General features: G+C 36.4%; 1 protein-coding gene across 11 annotated transcripts in view; it reads right to left on the minus strand.

The window, feature by feature from the left end:
• Nucleotides 1-18,535, minus strand: part of TRPC4 (transient receptor potential cation channel subfamily C member 4) — a 237,710-nt gene that overhangs the window by 16,247 nt on the left and 202,928 nt on the right. For 7 of the 11 annotated variants that reach the window (NM_001135958.3, NM_001354806.2, NM_001372055.1 and 4 more), the window contains 3 exons: nt 15,107-15,420; nt 6,779-6,974; nt 2,956-3,150 (listed from right to left, as the gene is read on the minus strand). In NM_001135958.3, coding sequence (NP_001129430.1) covers nt 2,956-3,150; nt 6,779-6,974; nt 15,107-15,420 — 705 coding nt within the window. Of the gene's footprint in view, nt 1-2,940; nt 3,151-6,778; nt 6,975-15,106; nt 15,421-18,535 lie in introns of all 11 variants that reach the window. The other 4 variants (NM_003306.3, XM_011535206.2, XM_017020723.2 and 1 more) reach the window with 2 other exon arrangements.

Here is an 18,535-nt window from a genome sequence, read left to right on the forward strand (position 1 = left end):
AAATGTATAAAGCTCAACTAAGAGTAGGCATCTGAAAACAATATGTCCTTTTCATTTTGGAAATGCAGTATGGAGAAAGAGTAAATTTAGACAGCATTGATATTGATTGGGCTGGTGCTTGCCCAGGGCTCTAGATTGGTGGAAAAGACAGACAAAACTCAGAATATTTTTTAGTTTGGCATAAATTCCCAAAGCATCCAAATAGCCATTGTTGAATGTTAGTAAAATATTAATGGTTAAAAAAAAAAAAGGAATGGTTTGAGATTCTGATTAGTTTCAAATTACCTTGCTGTGCATCAGCTTGGAGCAAAAAATTCAAATATAAACACATAAAAGAAATGTGTGGGTTCCTTTTGAGACCAGTAATATATAGCAAATAAAACTGTTTAACTCTGAGAATGAATCACTACTTTAATAGAAAAGCCAATTGACTGAGAGCTCCTCTTTGCTTCTAAAAAATGATGGCAACATAATCCTACCCATGAGTCAACAGTGAGAGGATAGGAGGGAGGGTTGGAAGCCAAGTTTTTGGTCTGGTTCTCCATTCTTTTTGTTGGCAGTACAGATGGATCTCTTAAAACATCAGAGCAGGACCCTGTGTTTTGTTACAAGTTTCCTGTTATCTTAAAAACCAAGATTCTCTCTGCCATTGCCTAAAATTAAAATATGAAATACATATTTCTTTGGTGAGTAGGTATTTTTTTTTTTTGGCCCAGAAGCTCTTTCTAAATCAAAATACTCTTATGAAAGGTAGTATATTATGACAGCATTAATCATCACTATCTTATCAGAGATCAATTAAAAATGCTTATAAATTTAAGAATGAGATGGTATAAAGGATAAGTATATTTGATCTGGAAAGGAGTAAGCTGAAGTCTGGCTTCCTTGAAATCTTGTCCTGTTTACCTCAAGGGAAGCATTAATTATTTCTTGCATTTTTCCCATAACCTCTTTCATGTGACTGTATTATAATGTTAAATATACTACATAACATATCTGTTTTTATTTCTGTATCTCTCTCATTAAAATTGGTGCCCTCAAAGATGGAACCCATGCCTTCGTACCTCTTCCCACTCCTCAAATTCTAGTTCAGTTACGGCAAGGGGGACACATGCAGTAATTGCTTATTAAATCTAAGCTATTGGCCGGGCGCGGTGGCTCACGCCTGTAATCCCAGCACTTTGGGAGGCTGAGGTGGGCAGATTACGAGGTCAGGAGATCGAGACCAACCTGGCTAACATGATGAAACCCCGTCTCTACTAAAAATACAAAAAATTAGCCGAGAGTGGTGGCAGGCGCCTGTAGTCCCAGCTACTCGGGAGGCTGAGGCAGGAGAATGGCGTGAACCCGGAAGGCGGAGCTTGCAGAGTCGCGATCATGCCACTGCACTTCAGCCTGGGCAACTGAGCGAGACTCCGTCTCAAAAAAAAAAAAAAAAAAAAAAAAAAAAACAACAACAAAGAACTAAGCTATTACATTTATTCTAAAACTTTTAACACAAAAGTCAAATATCTGGAGTAAAATAATTTCACTCCCTTCTAAGGTCAGTGATAAAGTTCATAAATTAGTATGAGGATGGCAGGATAAGGCTTTGTTGTAATCTGACTTTGGTTTCTAAGGTCAGATACATTCTCAAACTGTAGTCCCCCAAATCTATGGGTAATAGTTTATGGGAAAGAATAGAACTGCATCTCCTAATCACCTCTTTGTAACATTCACTTGCCAGTCAATTTCTCTTTGGAATTAGAGTTGTTACTGAGATGAGAGGAAAATCAATGCCACTGCCAGTAGGAGAAAGCTCCATTTGGTGCTGATGACAATGCCTGGTGGGCAATGAAGTTAGAGTGGTAAGGATCTCTTAGGGCATCGCAGTCACAAACCATGTAAAATAAAATTGAAAACAAATTAATATTTTTTTATTTTTAATTAATCTCTAATATTACTTGCTAATCCTAATATGATAACATTTAAAAATACTTCCAAAGCAATTTTACTGAGAAGATCCAAGTGACTAATGAATATGAGTGTTAATTTCCAAAACATTACTATGAGAACTTTCAAAATTAGAACACAAAGTGAGGAAGGCGTGAAGAATGATTTGTCTTATGTCAATGGTATGGCTGCACCAAAAGCTTCACGTGGTGTATCTTCTGCTGGAATTGCTTGAAACCCTGATTTCCAAAATGATGAAAGGGAAATACCATCTTCCAGTTTACCAGGAGCATGGCTCTGGGCAGTCCCCGCCCCCTCACCTTTCTCTCTCTCTCTTCTGTCTCTCTCTGTCTCTCTCTCTCTCTCTCTATACACACACACACACACACACACATATATATATATTTAGATGCCTAAATTCTTGGCATCTAATATGATAGGGAGTAGATGCAACATGTTGAGTAATTACACATATTCTGGAATCACACTTAACAGTTGGCACAGCATATTTAAGTTATAATATTCAGTCAATCATTTAATTGAGAATTCTTATCAAGCATAAAATGCTTTGTGCAGGGACTTTGTTAGGCATGAAGAATTTGAGGTCACCAAAGCACGTGCCCTTCCCTCATGGAGCATACGATCCAGAGGGGGAAACAGACAATGAGGAAGAAATGCCACAAATAACCTGCTGTCACATTCTGAAAAGACCTAGAAGTCAAGGTATTAAGACAGAGTATGCTAGTTCCCCAGCCTTGACTAGCAGAACTCAAGGAGGGCTGTGTGAAGAGCGGGACTTCTATTAAAATAGTAGTGACTGCCCTCGATGCAGGAAATTCACTTGTGAAGAAATCCTAGTTAATCAGACACTGCCTTAGTCATGGGAGATGTGTTATAAATGTTCATGACATGCAATCAGTAAGAACAAAAAGGCTAAAGACCTGAACATGTACAATAAAGAATACAAATATATTCAAATACACAATTTAAAAAAAGAGTAATACTAACATGCTGTGTTCTTACCCCTATTGTTCCAAAACTTTCTGGCTTTCTTCTCATCTTTTTCTTGCACAAGTGTGTCCAGATCCATTTGATCAGGTACCAGAGAGACTTGGGGCTCGGGATGACATTGAAGGGAGTAGGCAGAGTACCTCCTTCTTCAAAATAACTCATCCAAAGCTTTGTTCGTGCAAATTTCCATTCTATATCTGCATGGTCCTGAACAGGAGAACATGACAACTGATGATAGGTTCCTTAATTAACAAGGTACCATAAATCTCACAGAGATCCTGTAACCTGACTTCAAGCGGCTCTTGGAACATTAATTAAATTGCTTCTAAAACCACCACTGACTCCCAGAGACAGTCATCTAAACATTTCAGAGGGTGGCTTAACCTAGGGTAGTCACAGCTCTCGTGTCACTTCTCATCCTTCCTTCTTCAGTGAAACAGACATCTAAAATAATTCCATGTTAAAAAGACTGCAGTAATTAGTTATGACTTGAAGATTAGCCTGCATCTTCTGCACTGTAGACTCATGTTAGTGCAGTTTCATTTGATTCAGGCCAGAAATAGACTTTCTGTCTTAACCAAAGCCTTGTATTCCTGCTTAGATTAATGCTACCTCCACAGATGCTCATGGCTTAGCCTTCAATGTTGCCAGGAAAAGTCTTATTGGATATGTTTTCATGTGAATATTATTGCCCACCTTCGGCCAATAGAGATAAACTCAGAAAGAAGTTCCATTAACAAATGTAGAATTGGGCCTCTCTGACACACCATTGAATCTTGACCTAACTTTGTACAGATTTCACCAAAGAGGAGTATGGCCAGTGGTTGCCCACAATCCTGAGGCTATCCCCTTCATCATGTATTACTCACTCCACTTTATTAACCTCCTGAGGAAACTTTGGTACATTTGTGGCAATTAGATTTGGGACAGCCAGTCTCTTCTTAATTTAGCCATAAATCTGATTTAAGCAGAAAATCTGAGAAGTAGGAGGTGGTAGAGACTGGGCATACATTCATTTTAAGAATTCAGAATAGTTCATTGTAACCAGTTAATATCATAAACACGAACTCATATTTTAGAGTAGGAGAATAATCTTCAACTAGGCTTCATTTTGATATTCCTAAATTGCTGTGTGCGGATGAATAAGTTATGCATACTTTTTTATTCTGCGCAACATGGGTTTAATCCAGATATTGGACAGACTGTGCTTTGAACAAGAATCGCCATACCTAGAGAATGCATGGCCTTATTGCTGCTAAGCAAATGTTTGGTAATATGGATTGATCCACATAAATCGGAACACAGAAGCTGCAGTTTCCCTCCCTTTTTCCCTCCTCTTCCTTTCCTTTCTTATTTCTCCCTCCTTTCCTTTCTCTTTCTTTCTAGACAAGTTTATAGGTTCTGGCTGATTATGCTGCATTGGTGAAGAGAATTGTACATATTGTTTCCTGCAGGCATGGAGAATGGGACTCAGCAGATTTGGCTCAAGGAAATAAAAAGGCAATCACTTAGATAAAGCATTGGCCTGTGGATAGCTCCTTCTGATTCTCTGACTCTCGGTGAGTCAGAAATTATGTTATCTTATTGCAATCACTAAGCAAGTGGTTTCTTTGTTCATGATTTAGGATTTTAAGAGGGTCTATAACATAGTCTATGGTGCTTAGAAAATCTGGAGATAAAAAGCTCTAAGCTGGTGATGACTAGATCCACCTTCCACTACTCACCTTCTAACTCCTAGTCAACATTTGAAACTTGGCTTAAGAATCCTCTCTCCTTAGAAGCCTGTTCTGCCTCCCATCAGTCCTGAGCTGCCTCCTATCTCCAACCCCAGTCAAGGTCCCCTCTTCCATACTTTCATGACATCCTCAAATTTCTTTTCTCAATATTGAAATTATTTATTGCTTTTTATCTCTACTATATCATTTTTTTGTTGAAAACAGGGACTTTTTAATTCTTTGTATCCCGAAAATTAAGCATGTTTATGGCATATAGTAGGTGCACAATAAATATTCAATCAATTAACAAATGAGTGAATGGAAAGCAGTCTTTAGTTGGGGCCTACATAAGTGCTTCTGCCTTTCAACAGTTAAATTTTCCTCTTTTTCATGGTTTACCGATGGCTCTGAGTTACAGTTAACAAGAAAAAGAAAGAAAGAGGAAGAAAGAAAGAAAGAAGAAAGAAGAAAGAAAGAAAAAGAAAGGAAGGAAGGAAGGAAGAAAGAAAAAGAGAAAATTCTGCTATTCTGGGACAGGTGTAAGCAAATGCTTGGCATGTTCGTGCCCCCAAGGAGACTTCATGCATGGAGTCCTGGGAATCACACCTGTCTCAGGTTCTCAGTGACTCTTTGGTTCTCCATAGTCTTAGGGTTTGGGCTAAGTCTAAATAGAGAGTTGAAGATGATTCTTATCTCTGTAATGAAGTTACCTAGAAAAGCACACCTCACAAAGAAGCAATAAGAAAATGTCATAATATTCTTAAATAGTGTTTTCTCCTTGATGAAATTGGGACATTTAATGTTTTAAAAGATCCAAATTGCTGGCAGCTTCCTTGTATCTAGCTTGATAATTAAAGGCCTTCTAATTTGTTGTTGTTGCTGACGTTCTGGAAAACAGAACGCACATTTTGGAAATATGTTGATTAGGAGAATATAGAACTTCTGACACAAAAATTTAGAGTCTATTTATAAAAATTTCAGATCGTAAGATGCTTAAATGAAATTCAAAGTATCCACAAATTCGGGTATTAACCTCCAAATCCTAGGACCTACCTATTTCCAGAGGAATTTTTTATGCATTTGGAATACTTTAGTCTGTGAATCAATAAATAAAAACCATCTATTCTCATGTTCTATGCAGTTTTTCATCAGTGATGAGTGTCTTATGAGAAAAATTGCCTCCCTAAGGATGGTTGAAGTAAAATTCAGAGTTTTGCTTGACAAAAAAACAGTAATAACACTTCAGAGATTTAACCATAGATTCAAAGGTGTAATGGAATGTAATTATTTATGAAGAAAATGGGAAAACTATAATTACGATTATAAAATGCTACTTGTCTAAGGTATAAATATGAAAGACTTAACTATATTTCATTCCACTAAGAGTTCTGTTTTGCTGCTATTGCTAGTGGTCCTAGACGTATATCACTAGTATATAAGTTCAAGCAGATAAGTTCAACTTTGTCTTTCTTGTGCATTGCTGTATTTCTGGTGCCCAGAACAGTACTGGAAAACACAGTATGTACCCAGTAATTATGTATTGAATGAATAAATAAATAACTTGTGCTACGTTGTTTAGATTCCAGAGTTTCAAAAAAACATGTATTGTATCGTGTATTATCCTACAGAAGTTAATATTACTTCTCTTAATACATTGCTTTCCCTGAGCTTTAAGAAATTGAAAATCCTGTGGCTTCTCCCCTTCCCAGACTCCTCTCTGGGTTATCTTTTGTATCTTCCCCTGTAGGGATGACTTCGCTTATATGAGAGTGGTAGGTTAAATGGACCGACAGGAGGCAAAACCTATTGTACACGGCGCAGAGATGAGCTGCTTGTTTATTAGTCAGACCTCAGCTACTACTTCCCATAGCCAATGGCTGCCTGGCAAAATGGATTTGGTTTATCTTTGTAATCATGTGTAACATGACAAAATCAGATTAATTTATAGCTACATATAGTGTGCTACTGCTCAGAAATTTCAAATTAACCATTTATAATTCTTATCTGTCTAATCAATAGCTAATTATAGATTTTATTTACGATGATAAGAAGATGGAGTATAGCTAAGAACAACACATTCTAGAGGAAACATTGAATTAAAATAAAGCTGGTCAACTTACAGCAATCAGTTGGTAAGAATTATTCATCATAGCTATTAACATGTTGAGTAGAACAACCAGAGAGATGACATTGTATGTCCCAAACATGGTGGCACCAACAAACTCAGTAAATTCATGCTGTGCTTTGACATTGGTCACATATAAATTGATGAGCCCAAATATTGACCAAAACAGGGACTGCAGTGTCTCAAATAACCTGTAATAAAGATAAAATGATACTAATAGCTATATTAATGGAATCATTATACATGGGATAAAACAATAAAGCTTGGCATGATTATATATATATATATATATAATTAACTTAAACATTAATATCAACAGTAAAATAACCTTTTAGGACAATTATAAAATTAAACGATAAAAAGAGTGAAATAAAACTGTTTTCCTCAAACTAGTAGAAATGGTGTACTTAAATTTCCCAAGAGCTTTGAAAGCTAAATTTAGTTTCCTAGGGCAGAGAGAGGCAAATGTGGCATGGGTACTGAGTTAAGAATGGTTTTCACTTTCTAAAATGGTTGGGAAAAAAATCAAAAGAGTGATATTTTATGACATGAAAATTATGTAAAATTCACATCTCTATATCCATAAATAAAATTTTATTGAAACACATCCATTCTCATTCATTTATGCATTTTCTATAGCTTCTTTTGTGCTACAATGGCAGAAGAAAGTAGTTATAGCAGAGAACATATGGCTCAGAAAACCTAAAATATTTACTATCTGCTCCTTTTCATAGAACATTTGTCAATCTCTGTCCTAGGGCACTAAGTCATCACTAATAAATGATAGATCCCAAATTTTAGGCTTTAAAAAGTTTGCTCTTTTACTGATTTTGCTTTGGTTGTAGGAGAATTGAGAACATTATAATTACTACAGATTTCTATGTTTACAACTAAAATTGGACATAATGCATCTTGTAAGATGGTAAAGAGTCTCAGAATGCTTACGTAATAAAATTTGATGGGTTTTTGGTTTTTTTGGTATTTCAAGGAACATTTTATTTATTCTAGCCAATGAATGAACTCTGGCTATTTTATTGAAAATAATGTCCCTTTAACTTACTCCAAAAAATGAAATAAGCTGAGGACTATCTGAACTCAAATGGAGAATTGTTTGTTTCAAAGGGACCATAATAATACATTAATATAGTGTAATAAAACGATGATAGAGATTTCATACTTCTTGGTAAATCGTTAAAATGAGACTATATTTAAATTACAAAAATAAAATGAAAACCTTCTCATACACGGCATGATGACTAAGGAGGTAGGATTTCTGTCTATTGGGAGATTAGCATTAGATTGGAATGGTGTTGCAGAACCAAGTCAATTATGGCTTCTGGCAACTCCCAGCCCCAGTGGCATTGTCCCCTGTATGCCCTTTTATGGAAAGGTAGTCCTTGTGTAAGACTCTGGAGCTTCTCACCCAATACCTCCATGGACTAAGTCAATCATGGTCAAGTGACCCAAGGAGAGAAAATTCATATAAGGCCAGTGGCCTGTGGCATGCATTAAGGCAAAAAAGATCAGAATTCCCCTCTAGAGAAGTTTGCCTTAAAAATATCAAGATAATTGCCCAAAGGGGTTGGGATGACAGGGGTTATGATGTGGAGTCAGAGTCACTGGAATGACGGGATGCCAAAGGTTTGAGACAGCACAAACTAAGAAGCAGAGAATTGAGGATGAATAAGCCAGGCAATAAGTAAACTCGGAATAAGGATGAAGTAGCTGACTCATTTTAATGCTGACACACAGAGTAACAATCCCATGGCCCAGCACTACGTCAACTCCGGCTCTTCCCAAAGCTGGGGCTTGCTCTAGGTTCTGCCCTTGCAAAGATAAACCCTTACTCAGAAGACTGAAGGGCTATAATTCTTTGCATGTTTTTTTATAACTAAATGCCTGTTACTTGAAATAAGCTGTGAATTCTAGTGCATATAACCAGGAGATTCCAGCTAAATATGCCTAATTGGCATTCAGGATGGAAATTGCTTTTTTAAAAAGGTAAAAAATTTCATATTTTTAATTGAGCAACTAATTTTAAGACAGAAAATTTAACTATTTATTTTCTAGACCTGTAAAATGACGGAACAACAGATTATTGTGAAGGAGAAAGGGCACTGATCTGATCAACTTTAGCCAGACTGTGATTCTTAAATGGAATGCTGTGCATTCTACGAGGAGGTGATCACATATTCTTAGAGGAAAACCCAGGTGCCAGATTCCAACAATAATAGAGAGAATTCAATCTGACTCATTGGCCCTAGACAAAGGCCACTAAAGCTACTCTTTGAAAATTTCTCAGGAAAAAGTAAATTTGGCCCATGGCCATGAATTCTTTATTTTTAGTAACTTTAAAGACAACTTCTAAAATTAATCATAGTGTCCTTTGGATTTAATGTGAAAGAATTGTATTCTTTCTTTCCAAATAGTTTATGTTCTCACTGTGAGTATACACATAAAAATCAGCTGGTTTTCCTGACATGAATAGCAATTTAAGGAAAGTTGTAAGTTAAATATTATAAGTTATACAATATATAGTGTAAAATGTTACCACATAAACCCCATTACAGGTTCTTTTTCAAATAAAAACAATGATGCAGAATAAACCACTTATTATTTTGAATAGTACACATTTGCTCCTGTCTACATAGTAACTACTAATTTTAGGAAACATTAATAAATACTTTTGCAAAATATTTATTGATGTTTAAAAAAATTTAAAGGGGAAAATTCTAAATAAAGTGACATTTCATGATTACTTATAGATTATTTCTTTCTTTTATTTTCCTTCTTTTAGTGGAATAAGTCAGTGGTGAGATTTAAAGACTAGTTCCACTTAACTAAAATATATTTATTTCTCAGAGGAATTAAGACCCTGGCCTTAGTGTTTCTCAATGAATTGTTCAGATAACAGGTGGATTTTTAAAAAATCAGTCTAAGTTAACATTTCAAAGCCACTGCTTTCAGAAATGTTTTTGTCATTAGTAATTCCCAAATCTATTGAGACCAACATTGCCCATACATTGAAGGATCATTACTTAAAGTATCACATCTCAGAATGCCTTTACGTGACTAATATTTTTCTTGTTCTGTGGTAAGATATGAACTGAAAACTCTCCAAGATAATGCTACAATTTAATTAAGTGACATTTAGTATAAAACTTGGGTTGAAGACTAAATCCTAACAGTCTGTATGGGTGGACTTAGGTCCTGCCTTCCTAATGATAGCATTTTATCTCTTGCTTTGAATATATTGCTCAACATATGCTTTATACAATTAGCTTGTTTCCCTGATTATATATTTACAGCCAGAAGAATTGAACGTGTAAAAAAGTAATGTATTCCATTGTTGAAATTTTCCTCTATCCCATGGGACTAAAACAATGAGCAAACATAAATTAATAAAAAATTCATCTGAATATTTTATCTTTAGTTTATAAGCAAAAATGAAATATTAAAATAATGTATGACTCCAACTGGCCAGTTACAACCATTAGGAATACAGCTCCAACAAATATAAAAGGGCTTTGCTTAATGAGACAATACCTGTCACAAAGCCTGTGCCCCTCTCTTCATAAGAAAGTACCTTACCAGGGGCTAATAGCTTAAAATTGCACATAGAATAGTTTCAACAACTAAATATTTTGTGTTTTTTGGTAACATGTAGTTCTTCTCAGGGTAATGAGAAAATAACCTGGAAAGGAGCAGGAGGAAGTATGTATTCACTGGTGGGAAACGGCATGAAGATGCATAGAAGACATGGATCACAGCCTGACACTGGGCATTCAGTCAGGGAGAAGACCAGAAAAGGCCTCCTGCAAAAGGTATATCTGAGGTAGGATTTGGAAAAAAAAATTGCCACATGGAAGGGCAGAATAAGGCCATTCTCGAATAAGAGAAGAAAATAACGTATTTGGGGATTTGTATTTATAATCCATCAGGAAATATTGAAGAGTAAAGTGTTAATGGGGGATTGAAAGATGAGACAAGAAAAGGAAGTGATACAGAGGATGTTCGTCTCTTTCAAATAGCATGTTGAAATGTAATCCCTGATGTTGAAAGTGGGGCTTAGAGGGATGTGTTTGAGTGATGAGGGTGGATTGTGGGTTGCTCACAAAAGGCTTAGTGTCATCCTAGGAGTAATTAGTGAGTTCTCACACTATCAGTTCTCACAAGAGCTGATTGTTGAAAGGACCCCTGCACCTCCCTCCCTCGCTTCCTTCCTCTTTCCCCCTGTGATGCCTGCTTCCCTTCACTCTTTTGCCATGAATGGAAGCTTCCTGAGGCCCTCACCAGAAGCAGATGTTGATGCTGTGCTTCTTATAGAGTGTGCAGAACCATAAACCAAATAAACCTCTTTTCTTTATAAATTACCTAGTCTCAGATATTTCTTCATTGCAACAAAAATGGACTAAGACAGGAGGCAGGGGACAAGCAGATCAATGAATGATCTAAAATGTCAAGCTAAAGAATGTGGCAGTATCCTGTAAGAAATGGGAAACCATTTTGGCACTTTAAACAGGGTAGCCTCAGATATTAGTTTAGAAATATAATTCAGGAAGCAAAATGGAAGACATAAGAAACAAGGCAGAGACCAGGGGCAGGGGTACTTAGATTTGGGCATCAGTGGAGAGCAAGGGGAAGACAGTGCCAAGATAATAGGAGCAGGAACAGATATTTATTGACCGACTACACATGGAAGGGATGAGAAGAAGGTAGGATCTAGAATAAGATAAATGTTTTTGATGTAAGTTTCTGGGTGGATTGTGGTGATGTTGACTAAGAAAAGGAATTAAGCAGGAGGAAGAATATGTTTTAGAGAGACTCTGATAAATTCCCTTTGATTGAATTTAAGTCTTCAGGAGGCATGTAGAGAGAGGTGTCCACTAGACAGCTGAATATATTGTGCAACCCGAGGATAGAAATTGGTGCTAGTAATATAAATATGGAAGTCATGACTTAGACATATAGAGCCAATTCCAAAAGCACAGATGAGTTTTCATAGGGGTACTGTTAAAAGGGTCTCAGGTTAGCATGCTAAGACATACCACTATTTAAAAGCAGTAATGAAAATAAAAAATTATCAGAGTATACTTAAGGTTAGGGTTAGAGTAAAGTGAGAAAGGCTAGAGAAGTAAGATTTGAAGTGAAAAAGGTAATAATATAGAAGTTAAAAGGGGCAAGATTTCCAGAAATGGAAGTGTTAAACAGGGTCAAATGAAGCAGACACATTAAGTAAAATGTGAGCAGATAAATATCCATAGTTAATGGTGATAAGAAGGCTCCAGGTGATAATTTTTAGAGCAGTTTTAGTGGAATGATGGAAGCAGAAGCCAAATTATAATTGGATGAAGTTTGAGTGAGAGGTGAGAAAATAAGATATCTTGTATAGGCTTCTTTTAGGTTTACTTGGATGAAAGGAATGAAACAGGAGTGGTAGCTAATGGGAAATATTGGGTTCAAAATTTTAACAAAGTTTGAAACTGAGTGGAAGGAATAATAGAGATGAAACCTTATGAGAGATATGTGAGAGATAATCCTCTACCATTGCCAATCATGAAGATAATAAGAGTAGCTACCATTTTTGATGACATTCTATGACATGAACTGTGTTAGGTACTTTATATGAATTAGTGTATTTTTAACCTTCACATAGAATAAGGTCTCGGAAATAGTGGGCAGTAAAAAAGAGCCTGAATTTATGAAATGTACAGAATTACAAAAAGAAAATTAAAAACCAAAGAAAGCACAGAAGTAAGATGTAGAGCAGGGGCCCCAAGGGTATCACTATATACCCTGTGACAATGACTGGTGTCCGTTTTGCTTAAACAGAGTCATCAAGAGACAGGTGACTTAAGCCTAGGACCTCCTGCTTCCTAATGTTAAGGGCTATTGATATATACTTTAGTTTTTCAATATCTTGAAGCAAAAAATAATTTGTGGCTTGCACATTTATATTATTTAGAAAAAATAATTCAAGTGCAATAACTGATTTATTTGGGTTGAATGATATAGGCCTATAGTATTTAAGATATGTAATTATATGTTGCTTTTCATGACAATAGAGGAAATCACTGGTAGAGACAAACGAAAGTAATACATAATCCCAATAATCCAGTATATTTGATTTTGGAATAAAATTTATATTAAGCATTTTACATCATGCTTGTCTGGCCTTAATCTCCTTTGATTTATGTTATAATTAGTTTGTAATATGTTATTACTTACAAAGAAACCAATATAGGGACAAAGAAATTCCTAGGAATTTTAGGGGATCATAAATCATGACAGTGTTATGTATAACCTATTGATTGCAGAGGAATCAGATAGGTGAGAAGGGTTGGGTCTGGGAACCAGAGCTTTTCCCTGAAATAAAGAGGACCTGGGAGTTAACACAGTTTTAAATGCTACGTGGAAGTTCTTTCTGGAAGGCAAAGGAGGAAGTCAGAAGGATATGGCAACAGGAACAGATGGGGTGGTCTTGGCAAGCAGTTTGCACCAGGTTATGCAGCATAAAGTAAGAAGAAAGTTGTGAAAGAGCATTCACAAGGGTTCTCCATCAGAAATCCAGGAGACCAGCTGGCAGACAGACAAAGATTGTTAGAGCAGAACTCTCATTTATGAAGGAAGAGGTTGGTGGGGTCTGACCATTGTAAATCTCTAATCCGTTTCCCTGGCCAAGTTGCAAGTCAAGAACCACAAATAAGACGGGAGCCAGAGGGTAGGGGGTGGGCGGGGGAGGAAGAGAAGTTCAGATATCAAAATTGAGATGCCATCCTAGGCCATGCTAGTTATGAGGATGTTTTTGCAAGGGATTTCATTGAATTCCTCCTGCCCAGGGTCAGAAGAGAGCAGTGGGAAGATGTCAAGACTGAGTGAACCGGTCAGGCCAAGAAACTGCTGCTTAGGAATACAGGATCAAGAAGGAGCTGGAAGGCCGGCGAAGTGGCTCATGCCTGTAATCCCAACACTTTGGGAGGCTGTGGTGGGTAGATCCCTTGAGGTTAGGAGTTCAAGACTCAGCCTGGCCAACATGTTGAAACCCTATCTCTACTAAAAATACAAAAATTAGCCGGGCGTGGTGGTGGGTGCCTGTAGCCCCAGCTACTCGGGAGGCTGAAGCAGGAGAATCACTTGAACCCTGGAGGCAGAGGTTGCAGTGAGCCAAGATCACACCACTGCACTCCAGCCTGGGCGACTGAGCAAAACTCTGCCTTAAAAAAAAAAAATTATGTTTTCTTTAAGATCCATGGATGTATCAAATCTATTTCTGAAAAAAATGAGGTATCAATGGCTGACATTTAAAAATTATGTGCAAATAAAAAGATGATGAATAACTAAAATGAAGTTTTAAATATTGGAGCTAAGATAAAACAGATGTAGAATTAGACCAACAAGAGCATTTTAGCTGTAAGTGATTTTGTTCATGTGATATTATTGACTTTTTTGTTACTTGAGAAATTACCATCCTCTCTTATAGTATACAAGATTCTATGATGGCTCATGAATAAGGTATGACTTTTAAAGTCACCTACAAAATGACTGTGTCTTCAAACGTGGTTACTGTATGGAGGAAAATCACTTCACTTATTAATTCAGCTACTGGTTAACCGTCTGTTTGTCACAGTGGGAAGGAAATGGGACAGATATATAGAGGAATAGCCTATGAGAGCTGTGTGACCATCAGACACAGTGCCCATGAAGCTGTGTGCTGTTAGCAAAGCCCATTATGAGAATAACTGAGAGAGCTGACAATAGACACTGTCTATTGCTCATCCAGCCATAAGGGCACAGAGAGTTTTGTGTGCATGACAGTAATGGCTAGATTAGTCTTAGATTTCCATTTGCACTATTTTTAGATGGTTAAGTTTTTGTGTAGGAAACTAGAGAATGAAAGAGATACATAAACGGACTTTAGTACCTGGAAAACACATGAGGAAATATTGAAATCTACTTGAATTTTCCAACATGAGTGGTTTTACACATGTTCTATCTTTTAATGTACTTGTAAGCTTTTGTAGTATATAGGCTACCTTTTTAAATTCTACATCAAAAAAATAGTATCTATTGCTTTCTTTTTCATGAAGTCATTTAGAAGAAAAGATGATTTTACTAAAATTTAAAATAAATGTGTCAGGTATTCTTTTTCCTGTCGGAAGTTTTCATTTCTATTCAAAGCCATGTTAATTCTGTTTTCTGCATTAAGCACAATTTTAGTTCCCCATTTTCTTTACAACCATTTGTCATAGGTTTTTCAAGTTTGTGATGTGGTGCACTCTAAATGCTGTACAACATTACCAGTAGAAATGTCTATTAGACTTACGTTGAAAATGCATTATTCTGCTTTTCACATCTTATGCCTTTGCAGGTTAACCCTTTCGTTTCTTCATAATAGAAGTACAATTGATTTAGGCCATTTGCAAATGCTAGCAACACAAGGCAGTATATGAATAGAAACTTCAAAATGTCCAGGAGCATTCTTCCCAGAGATATTTGCAGAGGTCCCAGGTGAGAATTTGCAGTAAACAGTGAGATCAGACGCAGAGAACTGAAGATGTTTGCAATAGCAAATAAAGCCTCTGCCACCAGAGTGGGATGCCACATGTCCCATGATTCTCGTGGATTAAGGGCACTGTACTGGAAAAAACAGAGAAACAAAGGGAAAGTAAAACAAACACACGCATATAAATAGATCAAGGTCAGACCCAGAAGGAAAACTATTAAATTTTGAACAAAATAATTGATGACTTTGTTTTCGATTTTTGAACACACTTGCCAATTCTAGAGGAACACATGTAGGATACAAATTACATATAAATGAGTAGAAGTAGTGGTCTGTTGCTATGGAAACAGAAATGACCAATATGGGCAAAAACCATCAGTGCTTCCTCTCTGCTATGTCCTAAATGTAAATACAACCTAACTTACAAATCGTCCCGGCAGTTGCTGAATTGCTAACTTTTTACATTTAATATGCAGGAAATATAACATTTATCTGAATGCTCCTTAAGTAGGTAAAATACATGATTTGAGAAAAAAATTGCTACTGTAAACTTTGACCAGCAATTATTTAAAAAGTAAGCAGGTTAATTAAAATGTCAGATTTGAATTATCCTGCTATTAAAACATATAAAAAGCAAAATAAAATTTAACTGTGTACTATCGAGGTAAATTTGTATCCCTTTTAAAAAAGGGTCAAGGCCTGGCGCGGTGGCTGATGCCTGTAATCCCAGCACTTTGGGAGGCCGAAGCTGGCGAATTACCTGAGGTTGGGAGTTCGCGACCAGCCTGACCAACATGGAGAAACCCCGTCTCTACTAAAAATACAAAAAATAGCCAGGTGTGGTGGCGGGCACCTGTAATCCCAGCTATTAGGGAGGCTGAGGCAGGAGAATCACTTGAACTTGGGAGACTGAGGTTGTGGTGAGCTGAGATCACGCCATTGCACTCCATCCTGGGCAATAAGAGTGAAACTCCATCTCAAAAGAAAAAAAAAGGGTCAAATATGCTCTTTTAGATATTGCAGTATGAAAATCTGTAATTAAATCTGTATTAGAACTGAATAATAAATTGAATTATTTGCTTCATACACATCACTGAAAAATATATCTAGACAACCAAGATGTTTTTCCAATGAAAAGAAAGTTAGTGCTACTCTGTCTGAGTCCCACATAATGTTTTTTATTCTTTTTATAGCACATTTTACATCCAAGAGCTTTACAAATGTGAATCAATTAATTCTCCTTGAAACTAATAGATAGTATTTTTTAATCTCTCTGGGGAGACAATGTATTATAGGCTCCTGATCTTATTCAACACTCAGACTCTTGCTTGACTGGCAGTGTAAAACAATCAAGTTTGAACTAGAAGAAAATTATTTTCTATCTTTAAATCTTGATAAATGTTCTTGAACATTCCCACACATAGCTTCCGCATAAAATAGCTAATTACTGAAGATATAAAAAAAAAAGTTAAGATGTTTTTCTCTTTCATTATGACAAGTGTCAGAGTGAAACTTGGATACTAAACATTACCTAATTCTCTGCTCTTAGTCTCGCTATGTATGATGCCACCTTTTCCTTCAAAGACCAAGATCACATTGTCCTTCCTTTCCTCACTTCTCTCTTAAAAGACACACATATTTAAGTCCGTAACTATTGATAGCTGTCCCCCTATAATTGATAGCTAATTCTATCAGCGATACAATTAGCTCATAAATATTTATACTTGAGAAATATCCCCCTATGTTGGTAGCTAATTAAATTCCTCTTCATTTAACCTAATATAGCTCAGGACTATATTTTAAAATACACAAAAAATGAAACAAGAAGTATTCTTAATAATGCAATCATTTTCTTGAACTTCTTAGAACATTTAGCAAAATGCCCTGAATATCGTGGGTGCTCAAGAAATATTTTCTCCTGTCAAGTATTCATAGCCCGGTGAGGCAGACAGGCACAACTAATTACAATAAAAATGCTCTAAGAGATTAACACAAAGTGGGGTGGGAATAGGGAAGAGGAAGTGATTAATTCTGTCTGGGGCTTCTGAGGCTAGGAATGGTGAGAGATGATGTATTGTCAAAGCTTTAAAAATCCTTCAAATCTAGGAAAGATGCTATGCATTGCTTTAGGTTTAACATCCAGGTCAGCTGGATGTGGATCCATCATCACATTATGACTAGGTCAAGTTCTATTATGGACCTACTCTGAAAAGAGCCCTTCTTGGTAAATTATCTCAGCTGAGACAAAAAAAAAAAAAAAAAAAAAAATACATAAGAGGAAGGTTTTCCATTTTTACAGATTCTGCCCCAGTGTGATTATTTAAGCTGATTTCAGAGTCTAGCACTTCTAGTCATGGCCAGGAAAAAATGCTGCATGAATATATTCACTTTATGCAAGGTCAAGGCTTTAGGCAAAACATTGCTGGCATCTGGGTTAAAGGATGTTTGAATGGGAAACAACCATTGGAAGTTAAAGATGGAGACCTCCTGAGAAACTTAGGATCTTCTTCCCAGAAGCTATTGTGCTTACACTCTCAGAATAATAAACCTAGGGACCTTTGTCTCCCCAGAGACAATTTATTTACTTTAGAAAGTTGAAGTCTTTCTCTTTTCTTCTCCAGGGGAAAGACAGGCAGCTGGCTCAGCTGCACGGTATGAGTTCTGAGACACATATTTTCCAAGCTCCTCTCCTGTGGTACAAACCCCTGTATACACAGGGTACATCTGGCTATTAGGTCCCCCACTGGGGACTGGGGCATGGGGAACCAGTGCTAAGTTTGCTATGTAAGTAAATAATTTGTCTGTTCTCTGATCCAAAAAACCTCATTTCCTGTCACGGATTAAGAGATATAAATATGAAGTAATTATCTCTTGATTTTATTCTTCTTAAATTTTGCTGAATTTTTATCCCATCCTTCACATAGATATTTTCTTAAGTTTTTAACTATAGTCATCATTTAACAAAGTGATTTTTATAATTACAAATTGTAATATTCTTTGAATTTGTAGCGAATAATTTTAATTCTTCAATCAGTCGATGAATTTTCCACACCTATTCTTAGGAATTAAAATATTAATTTGAATTTTAAAAAATTTCTTTGCCTCTGCTATTTAGGAGCAATTTACAAAACCTACCTTCCCTTTTCATCTTCGCATGTTTGTCTTTGAGTGGCCTCTTCTCAGTCTCCTTGGGAAGTTCCTCAATCTCACCTGCCCCTTAAAAGTTGAGTTCATTTTTCAAGCTTCCTC

This window comes from Homo sapiens, chromosome 13, assembly GCF_000001405.40.
Source record: "Homo sapiens chromosome 13, GRCh38.p14 Primary Assembly".
Lineage (NCBI taxonomy): Eukaryota > Metazoa > Chordata > Mammalia > Primates > Hominidae > Homo > Homo sapiens.